The sequence below is a fragment of the Homo sapiens genome, chromosome 16 (assembly GCF_000001405.40).
Source record: "Homo sapiens chromosome 16, GRCh38.p14 Primary Assembly".
Taxonomy (NCBI): Eukaryota; Metazoa; Chordata; class Mammalia; order Primates; family Hominidae; genus Homo; species Homo sapiens.
In genome coordinates, this window is record NC_000016.10 from 31,291,713 (window position 1) to 31,309,883 (window position 18,171).

General features: G+C 38.7%; 1 protein-coding gene across 8 annotated transcripts in view; it reads left to right on the forward strand.

Annotated features, from left to right (window-relative positions):
• ITGAM (integrin subunit alpha M) overlaps positions 1 to 18,171 on the forward strand; it is a 72,903-nt gene that overhangs the window by 31,738 nt on the left and 22,994 nt on the right. For 5 of the 8 annotated variants that reach the window (XR_950796.1, NM_001145808.2, XM_017023216.2 and 2 more), the window contains 2 exons: positions 5,802 to 5,942; positions 6,030 to 6,242. Coding sequence is in view for 6 of the 8 variants with exons in the window: in NM_001145808.2 (NP_001139280.1) it covers positions 5,802 to 5,942; positions 6,030 to 6,242 (354 nt within the window). In the remaining 2 variants the exon portion in view is untranslated. The remainder of the gene's footprint in view (positions 1 to 5,801; positions 5,943 to 6,029; positions 6,243 to 18,171) is intronic. The other 3 variants (XR_007064878.1, NM_000632.4, XM_006721045.1) reach the window with 1 other exon arrangement.

Consider the following 18,171-nt stretch of genomic DNA (forward strand, 5'->3'; position numbering starts at 1 on the left):
ATTCATGTGTAGGAGCTAAAAAAAAATGGATCTCATGGAGGTAGAGAGTAGCATGATGGGTTACTAGAGACTGGGAAGGGTAGTAAGGAGGATGGGGTAAAGAGGGGATGGTTAATGGGTACAAAAATACAGTTAGGAAAAATAAGACCTAGTGTTTGGTAGCACAGTAGGGTGACTATAGTTAACAATAATTTATTGTGTATTTCAAAATAACTACAGGAATGGAATTGGAATGTTCCCAGCAAAAGAAATGATAAATCCTTGAGGCAACGGATATCCCAGTTACCCTGATTTGATCATCACACATTGTATGCTTGTATAAAAATATCACATGTTCCCTATAAATATGTGCAATTATTACATATTCATAAAAAGGTAAAAATCCTAGAAGTATATTTTGCAGAATTTAGCCAATTCTAAAATTTATATAAAAAATAAAAAAGTAGAGTATCCAAAAGAATTTTGAAAAGAATCTTGATACATACCATTAAGTAGCTGTCACTTTTTATTTATTTATTTAATTTAAAAAAATTAGATTGATATTTTATAATTTTTCAACTTTTACTTTAGGTTTGAGGGTACACATGAAAGTTTGTTATATAAGTAAACTCATGTCATGGGAGTTTGTTGTACAGAGTATTTTGTCACCCAGGTATTAAGCCTAGTATCCAATGGTTATTTTTTCTGCTCCTGCCTCCTCCCAACCTCCACCCTCAAGTAGACCCCAGTGTCTGTTGTTTCCTTCTTTGTGTTCATAAGTTCTTTATAGTTTAGCTCCCACTAATAAGTGAGAACATGCAGTATTTGTTTTTCTGTTCTTGTGTTAGTTTGCTAAGGATAACGGCCTTCAGCTCCATCCATGTTCCCACAAAAGACATGATCTTGCTATTTTTATGGCTGCATAGTATTCCACGGTGTATATGTACCACATTTTAAAAAATCCTATTTGTTATTGGTGGGCATTTAGGTTGATTCCATGTTTTGCTATTGTGACTAGTACTGCAATAAATATTCATGTGCATGTGTCTTTATGGTAGGATGATATATATTACTCTGGGTATATCCCCAGTAATGGGGTTGCTGGGTTGAATGGTAGTTCTGCTTTTAGCTCTTTGAGGAGTTGCCATACTGCTTTCCCCAAGTGGTTAAACTAATTTACCACTCCCACCAACAGTATAAGTGTTCCCTTTTCTTCACAACCTCACCAGCATCTATTTTTTAACTTTTACTAATAGCCATTCTAACTGGTGTGAGATGGTATCTCATTGTGGTTTTGATTTACATTTCTCTAATGATAATGATTTTGAGCTTTTTTTGTATGCTTGTTGGCTGCATGCATGTCTTCTTTCGAAAAGTGTCTGTTCATTTCCTTTTCCCACCTTTTAATGGCGTTGTTTTTCTCTTGTAAATTTGTTTAAGTACCCTGTAGATGTTGGATATTACACCTTTGTTGGATGCATAGTTTGTGAATATTTTCTCTCATTCTTTAGGTTGTCTGTTCACTCTGTTGATAGTTTCTTTTGCTCTTGCATTTAATTAGATGCCATTTGTCAATTTTTGCTTTTGTTGAGATTGCTTTTTGTGTCTTTGTCAGGAAATCTTTGCTTATTCCTGTGTCTAGAATGGTATTGCCTAGGTTGTCTTCCAGGGTTCTTATAGTTTTGGGTTTTACATTTAAGTCTTTAGTCTATCTTGAGTTGATTTTTGTATATGGTGTAAGGAAGGGGTCCAGTTTCAATCTTCTGCATATGGCTAGCCAGTTATCCTAGCACCATTTGTTGAATAGGAATTCTTTTCCCCATTGCTTATTTTTGTCTTAGATCAGATGGTCATAGGTGTATGGCCTTATTTCTGGGCTCTCTATTCTGTTCCATTGGTCTATGTGCCTGTTTTTGTACCAGTATCATGCTGTTTTGGTTACTGTAGCCCTGTAGTATAGTTTGAAGTCAGGTAATGTGATGCCTCCTTCTGTGTTCTTTTTGCTTAGGATTGACTTGGTTATTCAGGTTCTTTTTTGATTCCATATGAATTTTAAAATAGTTTTTCCTAGTTCTGTGAAGAATGTCATTGGTAGCTTAATAGTAATAGCACTGAATCTATAAATTGCTTTGGGAAGTGTGTCCATTTTAATGATATTGATTCTTCCTATCCATGAGCATGAGATGTTTTACCATTTTTTTGGTGTCATCTCTGATTTCTTTGAACAGTGTTTTACAATTCTCACTGTACAGATCTTTCAACTCTCTGGTTAGCTGTATTCCTAGTTATTTTATTCTTTTTGTGGCAATCGTGAATAGGATTGCCTTCCTGATTTGGCTCCCAGCTCTTGTTGGTGTATAGGAGTGCTAGTGATTTTTGTACATTGATTTCGTATCCTGAAACTTTGTTGAAGTTATTTATCAGCTGAAGGAGCTCCTAGGCCAAGACTATGGGGTTTTCTAAATATAGAATCATGTTGTCTGCAAACAGGGATAGTTTGACTTTTTTACTTCCTTTCTTCCTATTTGTATGCCCTTTTTTCTTTCTTTTGCCTGATTGCTCTGGCTAGAACTTCCAATAATATGTTGAATAGGACTAGTGAGCAAAGGCATCCTTGTTTTGTGCTGGCTTTCAAGGGGAATGCTTTTGCCCATCAAGTATGATGTTGGCTGTGGGTTTGTTGTAGATGGCTCTTATTATTTTGAGGTATGTTCCTTCAATACCTAGTTTATTGAGAATTTTTAACATAAAGGGGTGTTGACTTTTATTAAAGCCTTCTCTTCATCTATTGAGATAATCATGTGGTTTTTGTCTTTAGTTCTGTTTATGTGATGAATCATATTTATTGATTTGCATATGTTGAACCAACTTTGCACCCCGGGAATGAAGCCTACCTGATCATGGTGGATTAGATTTTTGATGTGCTGCTGGATTTGGTTTGCAGGTAGTGTGTTGAGGATTTTTGCATTAGTGTTCATCAAGAATATTGGCCTGAAATTTTCTTTTTTTGTTAAGCTGACACTTTTTAGTTTGATGCCACCCCATTTGTCTGGTTTGCTTTTGTTGCCTGTGCTTTTGGGGTCATATCCAAAAAATCATTTCTCAGAAGCTTGATTGTCAAGAAGCTTTTCCCTTTGTTTTCTTCTAGTAGTTTTACAGTTTCAGGTCTTGTGTTTAAGTCTTTAATCCATTTTGAGTTGATTTTGTATATGGTTTGGGATAAAGGTCTAATTTAATCCTTTTGAATATGAATATCCAGTTCTCCCCACACCATTTGTTGAAGAGAATGTCCTTTCTCCTTTGCATATTCTTGGCACCTTTATTGAAGATCAATTGACCATAAATGCATAGTTTTATTTCTAGCCTCCCTGTTCTGTTCCATTGGTTGATGTGTCTGTTTTTATGCCACCACCTTGCTGTTATGCTTACTAGAGCTTTCTTGACACAGTATGTTTTGAGATCAGGAATTATGATGCCTCCAGTATTTTTTTTCTTGAGGATTGCTTTGGCTATTTAGGGTCTTCTGTGGTTCTACATAAATTTTAGTTTTTTTTCTATTTTTGTAAAAAAATGCCATTGGGATTTTGATAAGGATTGTACTGAATCAGAAGATTGCATTAATACTCCAGTCCATGAACATAGGATATCTTTCCATTTATTTTTGTCTTGTTTAACTTCCTTAATCAATGTTTTATAGTTTTAGTGTACATGTTTTTCACCTCTCTGGTTAAATTTAAGCTTAGGTATTTTTTTTGATGCTATTGTAAATGAGATTGTTTCTTGATTTCTTTTTCAGATAGTTCATTGTTAGTGTATAGAAGCACTATTGATTTTTCACATTGATTTTGTAACCTGTAACTTTACTGAATTTATTCATTAGTTCTAGTAGTTCTTTTTTGGTGGAGTTTTTAGGGTTTTTTAAAAATATATTTATATATATATGTTTTTATATATATATCATTTTAAGTGTAAACAGAGACAAATTTCCTTTTTTATATCTGATTTGGGTCTCTTTCATTTATTTTTCTTGCCTAATTGCTGTGACCAGGACTTCCAGTACTATGTTACATAGAAGTAGTGAGAGTGAGCATTCTTGCCTTTTTCCTCATTTTAGTGGTAAAGCTTTCAATTTTTCACCATTGAGTATGATGTTTGTTGTGGGCTTGTCGTATATGGCCTTTATCATATTGAGGTACATTCCTTCTGTAGCGAATTTATTGAGAGTTTTTATTATAAAAGAATGTTGAATTTTGTCAAATGCTTTTTTTTGCGTATATTGAGATGATCATGTGGTTTTAGTCCTTCATTCTGTTAATGTGATATGCCACATTAATTGATTTGCATATGTGGAATCATCCTTGCATCTCGCATCCCAGGGATAAATCACACTTGATCATGGTTATTATCTTTTTATCTTTTTTTTTTTTTTTTTTAACAGAGTCTCTCTGTGTTGCCCAGGCTGGAGTGCAGTGGCGTTATCTCGGCTCACTGCAAGCTCCACCTCCCAGGTTCACGCCATTCTCCTGCCTCAGCCTCTTGAGTAGCTGGGACTATAGGCGCCCGCCACCATGCCCTGCTAATTTTTTTTTTTTTGTATTTTTAGTAGAGATGGGGTTTCACCATGATTTCCAGGTTGGTCTCGAACTCCTGACCTCAGGTGATCCACACGCCCTGGCCTCCCAAAATGCTGGGATTACAGGCATGAGCCACTGCATCTGGCCGGTTATATGACTTTATATGTTTGTCAAAACTCATAAAACTATGTACTAAAAGGCTGAATTTTATTGTATGTAAACTCTTCCCCAATAAATCTGACCTAAAAAACAATCAAATTCTGTTGACTTTAGGATAAAGTATTCAGTTATCAATGAGTCTTCCCTCAATGGTGTATGAGGCAGAAATCACGTTGCAGAGCCGTGGCATGATGTCCCCTGCACATTCCCTTTCTAGAACTTGTCCCAGTTTGAAATTGCTATACACATCTCCCTGTTAATCCATTGATTACTCTCCTCTCCTCCACCTGGCTGCACTGAGGGCCCTGGAAGGCACTGTATCTCTATTACCCAGCTGTGTGCTTAGCAATAAGAAACACTTGTTTGTTGAATGAATGAATAAATGAATGAATGAATGTATGATTAAATAGGTGAATTTTATGGATGAATTCTACATATTGACCTTGAAGATATTTCTTAATATCACAACAAATATTCAAATAACAAATAGTTATTTTTAATCTAAGCCAGTTATTAGCCTTATTAGTCAGAGTGCCAACTTTGACTTTTTACCTCCCTAAAGATTCCCAATATATTGAAAGGGTGGTATTCTGTCTTCTCTTCTAGAATTTTCTATGTATTTTCCAACCCAAATTCTTCTTTGCTGCCTTAATAATCTCCCAGGAATACCACCTGGAGTAAATCCTCACTCACTGCCCATTGACTCTACTATAGGCTTATTTTTTATCTTTTAAATTATTAAAAAATATATATATACACTTAGAGATTGGGATCTTGCTCTGTTGCCCAAGCTGGAGTGCAGTGGTGACAAAGCTCACTGCAGCCTTAAACTCCTTGGCTCAAGGGATCCTCCCACTTCAGCCCCCCGAGGAGCTGGGATTACAGGCAGAAACCATTCTGCCAGGCTTATTATATAGGTTCCTTTAGCTGGCAGCACATTCAAGTGATAATTTATCATGAACCATATAGAAGATCACATCTGCTCCAGAGGGATTCCCCCAGCAGGCATAACTTTTCTTCAGAGAGAGAAAACCTCCACATCTGCTTTAGGTGGGAAGAGGTGTGTGATTACGGTCCTGTCTCTTTCAGATCGGCGCCTACTTCGGGGCCTCCCTCTGCTCCGTGGACGTGGACAGCAACGGCAGCACCGACCTGGTCCTCATCGGGGCCCCCCATTACTACGAGCAGACCCGAGGGGGCCAGGTGTCCGTGTGCCCCTTGCCCAGGGGGGTGAGTGGCAATGGGACCTGGGCTGGGTGGGGCCCGGTGTGGGTGGAGGGGTCGCCTGGGTTGGGGCCTGATACTGTTTGTGTTTAGCAGAGGGCTCGGTGGCAGTGTGATGCTGTTCTCTACGGGGAGCAGGGCCAACCCTGGGGCCGCTTTGGGGCAGCCCTAACAGTGCTGGGGGACGTAAATGGGGACAAGCTGACGGACGTGGCCATTGGGGCCCCAGGAGAGGAGGACAACCGGGGTGCTGTTTACCTGTTTCACGGAACCTCAGGATCTGGCATCAGCCCCTCCCATAGCCAGGTGAGACCTGGTCACTGTCCTTGTCATGACAGTAGCCTCTTTGTTGATCTTTCTCCTAATTCAGTGTGCCCACAGCTGCCAGATAAGTTCTCACAGTACTCCTTTCAGAACCTTCAAAAATAATAACATGTGGCTGGGCCTGGTGGCTGACGCCTGTAATCCCAGCACTTTGGAAGGCTGAGTTGGGAGGATTGTTTAAGCCCAGGAGCTCAAGACCAGTCAGGGCAACATGGTGAGAACCCATCTCTCCAAAAAAAAAAAAAAAAAAAAAAAATTAGCCAGGTGTGGTGGCATACACCCATGGTCCCAGCTACTCTGGAGGCTGAGGCCGGAGGATTACTTGAGCCTGGGAGGTTGAGGCTGCAGTGAGTCCTGGTCACACCACTGTACTCCAGCAGCCAGAGTGACAGAGTCAGACTTGCACATGCATGCGTGCACGTGCACACACACACACACATTCACAGAAATCTCAAAGACTCTTAGTTCCAGATTGATTATTTCTACAGCAATAGGAGGTGCATGATAGCCTCATCACCCCCACTTTACAGATGAGTAGATCAAGGCCCAGCGATGGCAAATGGCAAGCTAGCAGTATTGGGATGCAGGCATTCCTTTCTTCTGAATCTCGGTCCTGGTAAGGTGACCAAGAGCTCTAGTTTGCTTAACTCTGTCCCAGATTTAGTACTGAAATCCCACATCCTGGGAAACCTATGCGGTTGGCCACCTTACGGGATTGCACACTTCACAGATGTGGAATTGTGCAGTCACACGTGCCCCTCTCTCAGAATCGCCCTGTGCTTGGCTTAATGCTCTGCTATTGCCATCTTCAATTCTTAGTAATTTTTCAACAAGGGGTCCTACGTTTTTTTGCATTGGGTCTTGCAAAGCATGGAGCCCATCCTGATGACTTGTCACCCTATATTCTGGACCTGACAACTGTTTTGCTCTGTAAGTTGGCTTTCTGTCTCCTGCCAGGTGGAGCCCACTGTCTGGAGGGACCCTTACAGTCTGGTTCCATCTTCCCTGTTCATATTCTTTCCCACCATAGCCACCTGAGACCATCTAGTTTTCTGGCCTCTGGTCTCTGGGTTTTTGCTAGCCTTACATTTTTCTTTCTTTATGTTTAAAAATTTTTTTATTGTGGTAAGGGCACTTAACATGAGACCTATCCTCTTAACAGATTTTAAAATGTACAATGTAATACTGTCATCTATTGGTGCAATGTTGTACAGCAGACCTCTTGAACTTCATCTTGCATATTGAAAATGTATACCCATTGATTAGCAACTCCTCATTGTTCTCTAGCCTCTGGCAGCCACCATTATATTCTTTGCTTCAATGAGTTTGGCTGTTTTATTTTTTTTTAGTTTTTGAGACAAAAGTTTCAGTCTGTCGCCCAGGCTGGAGTGCAGTGGCACAATCTCGGCTCACTGCAACCTTACCTCCTGGGTTCAAGCGATTCTCCTCTCTCAGCCTCCTGAGTAGCTGGGATTACAAGCATGCACCACCATGCCTGGCTAATTTTTGTATTTTTTGTAGAGACTGGGTTTTGCCATGTTGTCCAGGCTGGTCTTGAGCTCCCGGACTCAAGTGATCCACCTGCCTTGGCCTCCCAAAGTGCTGGGATTACAGGTGTGAGCCACCGCACCCTGCCAGTTTGGCTATTTTAGATAACTCATATAAGTGAAACCACGCCGTATTCATCCTTTGGTGACTGGCTTATTTCACTTAGAATAACGTCCTCCAGGTTCATCCATGTTGTCACAAATGAAAGAATATCTTTCTTCTTTTTCTTCTCCTCCTCCTCCTCTTCCTCCTCCTCCTCCTCCGCCTCCCCCTCCTCCTCCTCTTCCTCCTCCTCCCCCTCCTCCCCCTCCTCGTCGTCCTCCTCTCCTCCTCCTCCTCCTCCTCCTTCTTCTTTTTTGACAAAGTCTTGTTCTGTCACACAGGCTGGAGTGCAGTGGTGCAAACACGGCTCCTGGAAGCCTCAACCTCCTGGGCTCAAGCGACCCTCCCACCTCAGTCTCCTGAGTAGCTGGGACTGTGGGCCCATTCCACCATGCCTGTCTAATTTATTTTTATTTTTTGTAGAGATGGGGTCTCCCTATGTTGCCCAGGCTGATGGCTTTCTTTTTTAAGGCTGAATAATATCCCACTGTATGTATATACCACAATTAAAAAAATCCATCATTTCCTGGTAGAGAGGGAAGGAAAAATCCCTCATCTGTTGATAGGCATTTAGGTTGTTTTCACATCCTGGCTATTGTGAATAGTGCTGCAATGAACATGGGCACGTTCATATCTCTTTAAGATCATAATCCCCATTCCTCTGGTTAAATAACCAGAAGTGGGATTATTAAATCATATGGTAGTTCTATTTCTAATTTTTTGAGGAACTTCCATACGTTTTCCCTAGGAGCTGCACCATTTTGCAGTCTCGCCAACAGTGTGCAAAGGTTCTGATTTTTCCATGTGTTTACCAACACTTGTCTTTTGTTTTTTTGGCAATAGCCAGGCTAGCAGGTGTGCAAGTGAAATTTCACTGTGGCTTTGATTTGCATTTCCCTGATGATTAGTGATGTTGAGCATCTTTTCATGTATGTATTGGGCATTTTTGTGTCTGAAAAAAATGTCTCTTCAAGCCCTTAAGCTTATTTTTAAATCAAGTTATTAAGGCCGGGAGCAGCGGCTCATGCCTGTAATCCCAGCACATTGGGAAGCCGAGGCGGGTGTATCACCTGAGGTCAGGAGTTCAAGACCAGCCTGGCCAACAGGGTAAAACTTCATCTCTACTAAAAATACAAAAATTAGCCGGGCTGTGGTGGTGCATGCCTGTAATCCCAGCTATTCCAGAGGCTGAGATGGGAGAATCGCTTGAACCCGGGAGGTGGAGGTTGCAGTGAGCCGAGATTGTGCCACTGCACTCCAGCCTGGGAGACAGAGGGAGACCTTGTCTCAAAAAAAGAGAAAAGTTATTAGATTTTTTGCTATTGAGTTGTATGAGTTCACTATATATTTTGGAGATTAACCCCTTATCAGATACATGGTTTGCAAATACTCTCTCCCATTCCATAGGTTATATTTTACTCTGCTTATTCTTGCCTTTGCTGTGTAGAAGTCTCACTTGGTTTGATGCAGTCAGGCTTAGTTATTTTTGTCGTCTGTACTTTTGGTGTCATAGCCATAAACTCATTGCTCAAACCACCATCTTTCCAGCTTCTCCCCTGAGTTTTATTCTAGATGTTTTACTTTTTCATTGAAGTCTTTAATTCATTTTGAATTGATTTTTGTGTATGGTATATGAGTCAAGTTGCATTCTCCTGCATTTGTATATCCAGTTTCCCAATACCATTTGTCTAAGAGAGTATCCTTTACCCATTGTGTATTCTTGGCATTATTTAGGAGAATCAGTTGGACCCATATGGATGGGTTTATTTCTGGGCTCTGTATTCTGTTCCATTTGTCTATATGTCTATCTTTATGCTAGTACCATACTATTTTAAGTACTATAACTTTGTCATTTATATATATAATCCTGCATTTTATTAGAGTCAAATAACATTAAAAGAAAGACACTTATATTCGCTTTAGAAAACCCATTGATGTTGATGAATTTGGCACATACTTATAAAAGCAAGGCTTATTAGCTCATATATTTGGAACTAAAAAGTATTTGAAGTTGATCACAGCATAATGAATCCTCAATTTCCAGAGTACTAGAGATGATTATATACAAAAATCCAGTGAAACTTATTTTACTAATTTACCAGTTCTATATCACTCCTAAATTTCCCTAAAAATATGGATTTATAAAAGGTAGTATTCTATAATTCACAAATATGAAGAGCTTTATTATAATTTGAGTATGAACTGTGTATCACCCATATCATGGCTTCAGAAAACTATTGCTTTTCTTACTAACTTATTTAAGGTTTCACTACATGAGTCAGTATGCAGAACTCACTATGTTGTAACTACGATCTGTAATGATAAAAATATAGAACCTCTTTGACTTTAATCTAAAAAAGTCACCTTATCATAAAACAGTGTTAACATAATCAAAAATTAACCCTGACAAAAAAAAACCCACTTATTTTGGCTTTTAAAAATAGCTCATGCTCATGGTTCTTTCAAAGTGGTGTTGTAGCTACCGTCTTTTCTAACAGAGGAATATTTTCATCATAGCAACTATTTCTGAGCCAAAAATAAACCACACTAAAAACAGAAGAAAATTCTCAGTGTAGAAAGGAAAAGGCTCATCTGTTGTGCAATAGCAGGCATCGGGCTCTGTGAGTGCCTTTCAGACATCCTCAATCAACCCAACTAGAGGCACTATTGAGTTTATCCAGTAAGAGCACTGTGCAATCTAGTGCTGTGAGGGCATTACTTAATTAGCCAAAGGAAGAACAATCTTTTTTTCTTTCTTTTCTTTTCTTTTTTCTTTTCTTTTCTTTTTTCTTTCTTTCTTTCTTTCTTCTTTCTTTCTTTCTTTCTTTCTTCCTTCCTTTCTTTCTTTCTTTCTTTCTTTCTTTTTTCTTTCCTTCTTTCTTTCTTTCTTTTTTTTCTTTCTCTTTCTCTTTTGTTTTTGTTTTTGTTTTGAGACGGAGTCTCGTGCTGTTGCCCAGGATGGAGTGCAGTGGAGTGAGCTCGGCTCACTGCAACCTCCGCATCCCAGGTTCAAGCTATTCTCTTGCCTCAGCCTGCCGAGTAGCTGAGATGACAGGCGCCCGCCACTACGCCTGGCTAATATTTTTCTCTTTTTAGGAGAGACGGGGTTTCACCATGTTGGCCAGGCTGGTCTCGAACACCTGACCTTGTGATTCACCTGCCTCAGCCTCCCAAAGTGCTGGGATTACAGGCGTGAGCCACCGCGCCCAGCTTTTTCTTTCTCTTTCTTTCTTCTTTCTTTCTCTCTCTCTCTTTCCCTCCCTCTTTCTTTCTTTCTCTCTCTCTCTTTCCCTCCCTCTTTCTTTCTTTCTTTCTTTCTTTCTTTCTTTCTTTCTTTCTTTCTTTCTTTCTTTCTTTCTTTCTTTCTTTCTTTCTTTTTCTTTCTCTCTTTCTTTCTCTCTGTTTCTTTCTCTCTCTTTTTATTTTTTTGAGACAAGGTCTCCCTCTGTTGCCCAGGCTGGAGTGCAGTGACGAGATCATGGCTCACTGCAGTCTTGACACCCAGGCTCAAGCAATTCTTCCTTCTCAGCTGCCCAAGTAGCTGAGACTATAGGTGTGCACCCCCACGCTTGGCTAATTTTTCAATTTTTTGTAGAGATGAAGTCTCACTATGTTGGCCAGGCTGGTCTTCTGGCCTCAAGCCATCCTCCTGCCTTGGCCTCTCAAAGTGTTAGGATTATAGATGTGAGCCACTGCACCCAGCCAAAGCAGTCTTCAAGTTATGTACCAGTAATTTATATAGCTTTTCTAAAATTTAAGAAAGTACTGAATGGACTATAGTTATTATCTAAAATTTAAGCAAGTACTGAGTGGACTATAGTCATTATATGATTTTTTAAAAAATTTCAGTAACTTTTGGGGTACAAGTGCTTTTTGGTTACATGAATGAATTCTATAGTGGTGAATTCTGAGATTTTAGTGCACCTGTCATCAAAGCAGCGTACACTGTACCAAATATATAGTCTTTTGTCTCTTACCTCCTCCCAGACTCCCCTTCCCCAAGTCCTCAAAGTCCGTTACATCACTCTTGTCTTTGCATCCTTATAGTTTAGCTCCCACTTATAAATGAAAACATATATTTAGTTTTCCATTCCTGTGTTACTTCAGTAATGGCCTCCAGTTCTATCCAAGTTGCTGCAAAATACATTATTTGTTCCTTTTTATGGCTGGGTAGTACTCTGTGTATATATACACATATACACACACACATATATATAACTTTTTAAAATCCACTCATTGGTCGACGGGTACCACAGTTTGGTTCCATATCTTTGCAATTGTGAATTGTGCTGCTATAAACATGCATGTTCATGTATCTTTTTCATATAATGACTTCTTTTCCTTTGGGTAGATACCCAGTAGTGGGATTACTGAATCAAATGGTAGATCTACTATTAGTTATTTAAGGAATCTCCATACTGTTTTCCATAGAGGTTGTGCTAATTTACATTCCCACCAGCAGTGTAAAAGTGTCCCCTTTTCATCACATCCATGCCAGATCTATTGTTTTTTGACTTTTTAGTTATGGCCATTCTTGCAGGAGTAAGGTGGTATTTTATTGTGGTTTTAATTTGCATTTCCTTGATGATTAGTGATGTTGAGCATTTTTTTCATATGTTTATCGGCCATTTGTATATCTTCTTTTGAGAATTGTCTATTCATATCCTTTGCCTACTTTTTGATGGGATTATTTGTTTTTTCCTTGCTGATTTGTTTGAGTTCCTTATAGTTTCTGGATAGTAGTCCTTTGTCAGATGCATAGTTGGCAAATATTTTCTTGCATTCTGTGGGTTTTCTGTTTGCTCTGATGATTATTTCTTTTGCTGTGCAGAAGCTTTTTAGTTTAATTAGGTCCCATTTATTGGTTTTGTTGCATTTGCTTTTGGGGTCTTGGTCATGAATTCTTTGCCTAGGCCAATGTCCAGAAGAGTTTTTCCAATGTTATCTTGTAGAATTGTTATGGTTTCAGGTCTTAGATTTCAGTCTTTGATCCATCTTGAGTTGATTTTTGTATAAGTTGAGAGAAGAAGATCCAGTTTCATTCTTCTACATGTGATTTGCCTGTTTTCCCAGCGCCATTTACTGAATAGGGTGTCCTTTTCCCAATTTATGTTTTTGTATGCTTTGTAAAAGATCAGTTGGCTGTAAGTATTTGGTTTTATTTCTGGGTTCTTTGTTTTGTTCCATTGGTCTAAGTGCCTATTTTTATACCAGTACCATGCTGTTTTGGTAACTATAGCCTTGTAGTATAATTTGAAGTCTGGTACTGTGATGCCTCCAGATTTGTTCTTTTTGCTTAGTATTGCTTTGGCTATTTGGGCTCTTTTTTTTTGTTCCATATGAGTTTTAGGATTGTTTTATTCTAGTTATGTGAAAAATGATGTTGGTATTTTGATGGGAATTGCATTAAATCTGTAGATTGGGCAGTATGGTCATTTTCACAATATTGATTCTTCCTATCCATGAGCATGGGATATATTTCCATTTGTTTGTGTCATCTATAATTTATTTCAGCAGTGTTTTGTAGTTTTCCTTGTAGGGAGCTTCACCTCCTTGGTTAACTATATTCCTAGGCATTTTATTTTATTTTTGTAGCTGTTATAAAAGGGGTTGAGTTCTTGATTTGATTCTCAGCTTTGTCATTGTTGGTGTATAGCAGTGCTACTGATTTGCATACATTGATTTTGTAACCTGAGACTACTGAAATTGTTTATCAGATCTAGGAATCTTTTGGATGAGCCTTTAGCATTTTCTAGGTAAATGATCATATCATTGGCAAACAGCTCTAATTTGACTTCCTCTTTTCCAATTTGGACCCCTTTATTTCTTTCTCTTGACTGATTTGATTTGGCTGGGACTTTCAGTACTGTGTTGAATAGAAGTGCTGAAAGTGGGCATTCTTGTCTTGTTCCAGTTCTTAGTGAGAATGCTTTCAACTTTTCCCCCTTCAATATGAAGTTGGCTGTGCTTTTGTCAGATAATGGCTTTTATTATTTTGAGATAAGTCCCTTCTATGTCTAATTTATTGAAAGCCTTTTTTTAATCATAAAGGGATGCTGGATTTTATCAAATGCTTGTTCTGCATCTATTGAGATGATTATATAGTTTTCTTCTTTAATTCTGTTTATGTGATGTATCACATTTATTGACTTGCATATATTAAACCATTCCTGCGTCCTTGGGATGAAACAGACTTGATCATGATGTATTATCTTTTTGATGTACTGTTGGATTTGGTTAGCTAGTATTTTGTTAAGGATTTTTGCTTCTATATTCATCAGGGATATTGTTCTGTAGTTTTCTTTTTTTTGTTATATCCTTTTCTGGTTTTGATATTAGTGTGATACTGGCTTTATAGAATGATTTAGGGAGGATTCCCTCTTTCTCTATCTTTTGGAATAGTATCATATCATTGGTACCAATTCTTTGAATGTCTGTTAAAATTCAGCTGTGAAACCTTCTGGTCCTGGGCTCTTTCTGATTTGATCTCGCTGCTTGTTATTGGTCTGTTCTTGGTATCTATTTCTTGCTATAGCTATTATATGATTAATCCAAGGTACCGAAAAGCATTTTGAATGATTTAGCAGGCCATCCTTTTTCCTTGTGTCCTAATGAGGAATTTTTTTGACGCTTCATAATTCTCTTAACAAGGAATTTTAGCTCCTCCTCCATCATTTTGTAAAATAACGATGATAATTTAAAACTTCCATCAACATATTAAATTTTCAAAATTAAACAACTAAAAGCTACAAAAATCTCAAAGTTTGAGTTTTAAACTGAATATTTGAAGCTAATATAGAAATTTTTGATAAGAATATCAGTGCAGACATATAACACTCAAACCTTCACAGCTAATGGCAATATCTATTAGCAATGCAAGGTACTCTTTTTTTTTTTTTTTCTTTTTGAGATGGAGAATTTTGCCCTGTTGCCCACACTGGAGTACAGTGGCATGATCTTGGCTTACTGCAACCTCTGCCTCCTGGGCAAGAGATTCTTTTGCCTCAGCCTCCTGAGTAGCTGGGATTACAGGAGTGCGCCACCATGCCCAGCTAATTTTTGTATTTTTAGTAGAGATTGGGTTTCACCATGTTGGCCAGTCTGGTCTCGAACTACTGACCTTGTGATCTGCCCGTCTCAGCATCCCAAAGTGCTGGGATTACAGGCATGAGCCACCATGTCTGGCCGCAAAGTACTCTTAATGACTTTTAAATCATGTTTAACAGAGAGTTTACACAAGTTAGTCCAATGTAGTTAGTATTAGTGTCCAATAATATATGAACACCCTTCAAGACAATTGCTGCTACATTTTCAATATAATTATTAATTGTTGTCTGAAAAACACACATAAACGCAAGTGAGACTAAAAGTTGTGTCACAAAAGAAAAAAAGAAAAGACCAGTACCATGCTGTTTTGGTTACTGTAGCCTGGTAGTATGGTTTGAAGTCAGGTAGCGTGATGCCTCTAGCTTTGTTCTTTTGGCTTAGGATTGACTTGGCAATGCGGGCTCTTTTTTGGTTCCATATGAACTTTAAAGTAGTTTTTTCCAATTCTGTGAAGAAAGTCATTGGTAGCTTGATGGGGATGGCATTGAATCTATAAATTACCTTGGGCAGTATGGCCATTTTCACAATATTGATTCTTCCTACCCACGAGCATGGAATGTTCTTCCATTTGTTTGTATCCTCTTTTATTTCATTGAGCAGTGGTTTGTAGTTCTCCTTCAAGAGGTCCTTCACATCCCTTGTAAGTTGGATTCCTATATATTTTGTTCTCTTTGAAGCAATTGTGAATGGAAGTGCACTCATGATTTGGCTCTCTGTTTGTCTGTTACTGGTGTGTAAGAATGCTTGTGATTTTTGCACATTGATTTTGTATCCTGAGACTTTGCTGAAGTTGCTTATCAGCTTAAGGAGATTTTGGGCTGAGACGATGGGGTTTTCTAGATATACAGTCATGTCATCTGCAAACAGGGACAATTTGACTTCCTCTTTTCCTAATCGAATGCCCTTTATTCCCTTCTGCTGCCTGATTGCCCTGGCCAGAACTTCCAACACTATGTTGAATAGGAGTGGTGAGAGAGGGCATCCCTGTCTTGTGCCAGTTTTCAAAGGGAATGCTTCCAGTTTTTGTCCATTCAGTATGATATTGGCTGTGGGTTTGTCATAGATAGCTCTTATTATTTTGAGATATGTCCTATCAGTACCTAATTTATGGAGAGTTTTTAGCATGAAGGGTTGTTGAATTTTGTCAAAGGCCTTTTCTGCATCTATTGAGATAATCATGCGGTTTTCGTCTTTGGTTCTGTTTATATGCTGGATTACGTTTATTGATTTTCGTATGTTGAACCAGCCTTGCATCCCAGGGATGAAGCCCACTTGATCATGGTGGATAAGCTTTTTGATGTGTTGCTGGATTCGGTTTGCCAGTATTTTATTGAGGATTTTTGCATAAATGTTCATCAAGGATATTGGTCTAAAATTCTCTTTTTTTGTTGTGTGTCTGCCAGGCTTTGGTCTCAGGATGATGCTGGCCTTATAAAATGAGTTAGGGAGGATTCCCTCTTTTTCTATTGATTGGAAGAGTTTCAGAAGGAATGGTACCATCTCCTCCTTGTACCTCTGGTAGAATTCGGCTGTGAATCCATCTGGTCCTGGACTTTTTTTTGGTTGGTAAGCTATTAGTTATTGCCTCAATTTCAGAGTCTGTTATTGGTCTATTCAGAGATTCAGCTTCTTCCTGGTTTAGTCTTGGGAGAGTGTATGTGTCGAGGAATTTATCCATTTCTTCTAGATTTTCTAGTTTATTTGCGTAGAGGTGTTTGTAGTATCCTCTGATGGTAGTTTGTATTTCTGTGAGATAGGTGGTGATATCCCCTTTGTCATTTTTGTATTGCATCTATTTGATTCTTCTCTCTTTTCTTCTTTATTAGTCTTGCTAGGGCTCTATCAATTTTGCTGATCTTTTCAAAAAAACCAGCTCCTGGATTCACTAATTTTTTGAAGGGTTTTTTGTGTCTCTATTTCCTTCAGTTCTGCTCTAATCTTAGTTATTTCTTGCCTTCTGCTAGCTTTTGAATGTGTTTGCTCTTGCTTCTCTAGTTCTTTTAATTGCGATGTTAGGGTGTCAATTTTAGATCTTTCCTGCTTTCTCTTATGGGCATTTAGTGCTATAAATTTCCCTCTACACACTACTTTGAATGTGTCCCAGAGATTTTGGTATGTTGTGTCTTTGTTCTCATTGGTTTCAAAGAACATCTTTATTTCTGCCTTCATTTTGTTATGTACCCAGTAGTCCTTCAGGAGCAGGTTGTTCAGTTTCCATGTAGTTGAGCGGTTTTGAGTGAGTTTCTTCACCCTGAGTTCTAGTTTGATTGCACTGTGGTCCGAGAGACAGTTTGTTATAATTTCTGTTCTTTTACATTTGCTGAGGAGTGCTTTACTTCCAACTATGTGGTCAGTTTTGGAATAGGTGTGGTGTGGTGTTGAAAAGAATGTATATTCTGTTGATTTGGGGTGGAGAGTTTTGTAGATGTCTATTAGGTCCGCTTGGTGCAGAGCTGAGTTCAATTCCTGGATATCCTTGTTAACTTTCTGTCTCGTTGATCTGTCTAATGTTGACAGTGGGGTGTTAAAGTCTCCCATTATTATTGTGTGGGAGTCTAAGTCTCTTTGTAGGTCACTAAGGACTTGCTTTATGAATCTGGGTGCTCCTGTATTGGGTGCATATATATTTAGGATAGTTAGTTCTTCTTGTTGAATTGATCCCTTTACCATTATGTAATGGCCTTCTTTGTCTCTTTTGATCTTTGTTGGTTTAAAGACTGTTTTACCCGAGACTAGGATTGCAACCCCTGCCTTTTTTTGTTTTCCATTTGCTTGGTAGATCTTCCTCCATCCCTTTATTTTGAGCCTATGTGTGTCTCTGCACTTGAGATGGGTTTCCTGAATACAGCACACTGATGGGTCTTGACTCTTTATCCAATTTGCCAGTCTGTGCCTTTTAATTGGAACATTAAGCCCATTTACATTTAAGGTTAGTATTTTTATGTGTGAATTAGATCCTGTCATTATGATGTTAGCTGGTTATTTTGCTCGTTAGTTGATGCAGTTTCTTCTTAGCCTTGATGGTCTTTACAGTTTGGCATGTTTTTGCAGTGGCTGGTACCGGCTGTTCCTTTCCATGTTTAGTGCTTCCTTCAGGAGCTCTTTTAGGGCAGGCCTGGTGGTGACAAAATCTCTCAGCATTTGTTTGTCTGTA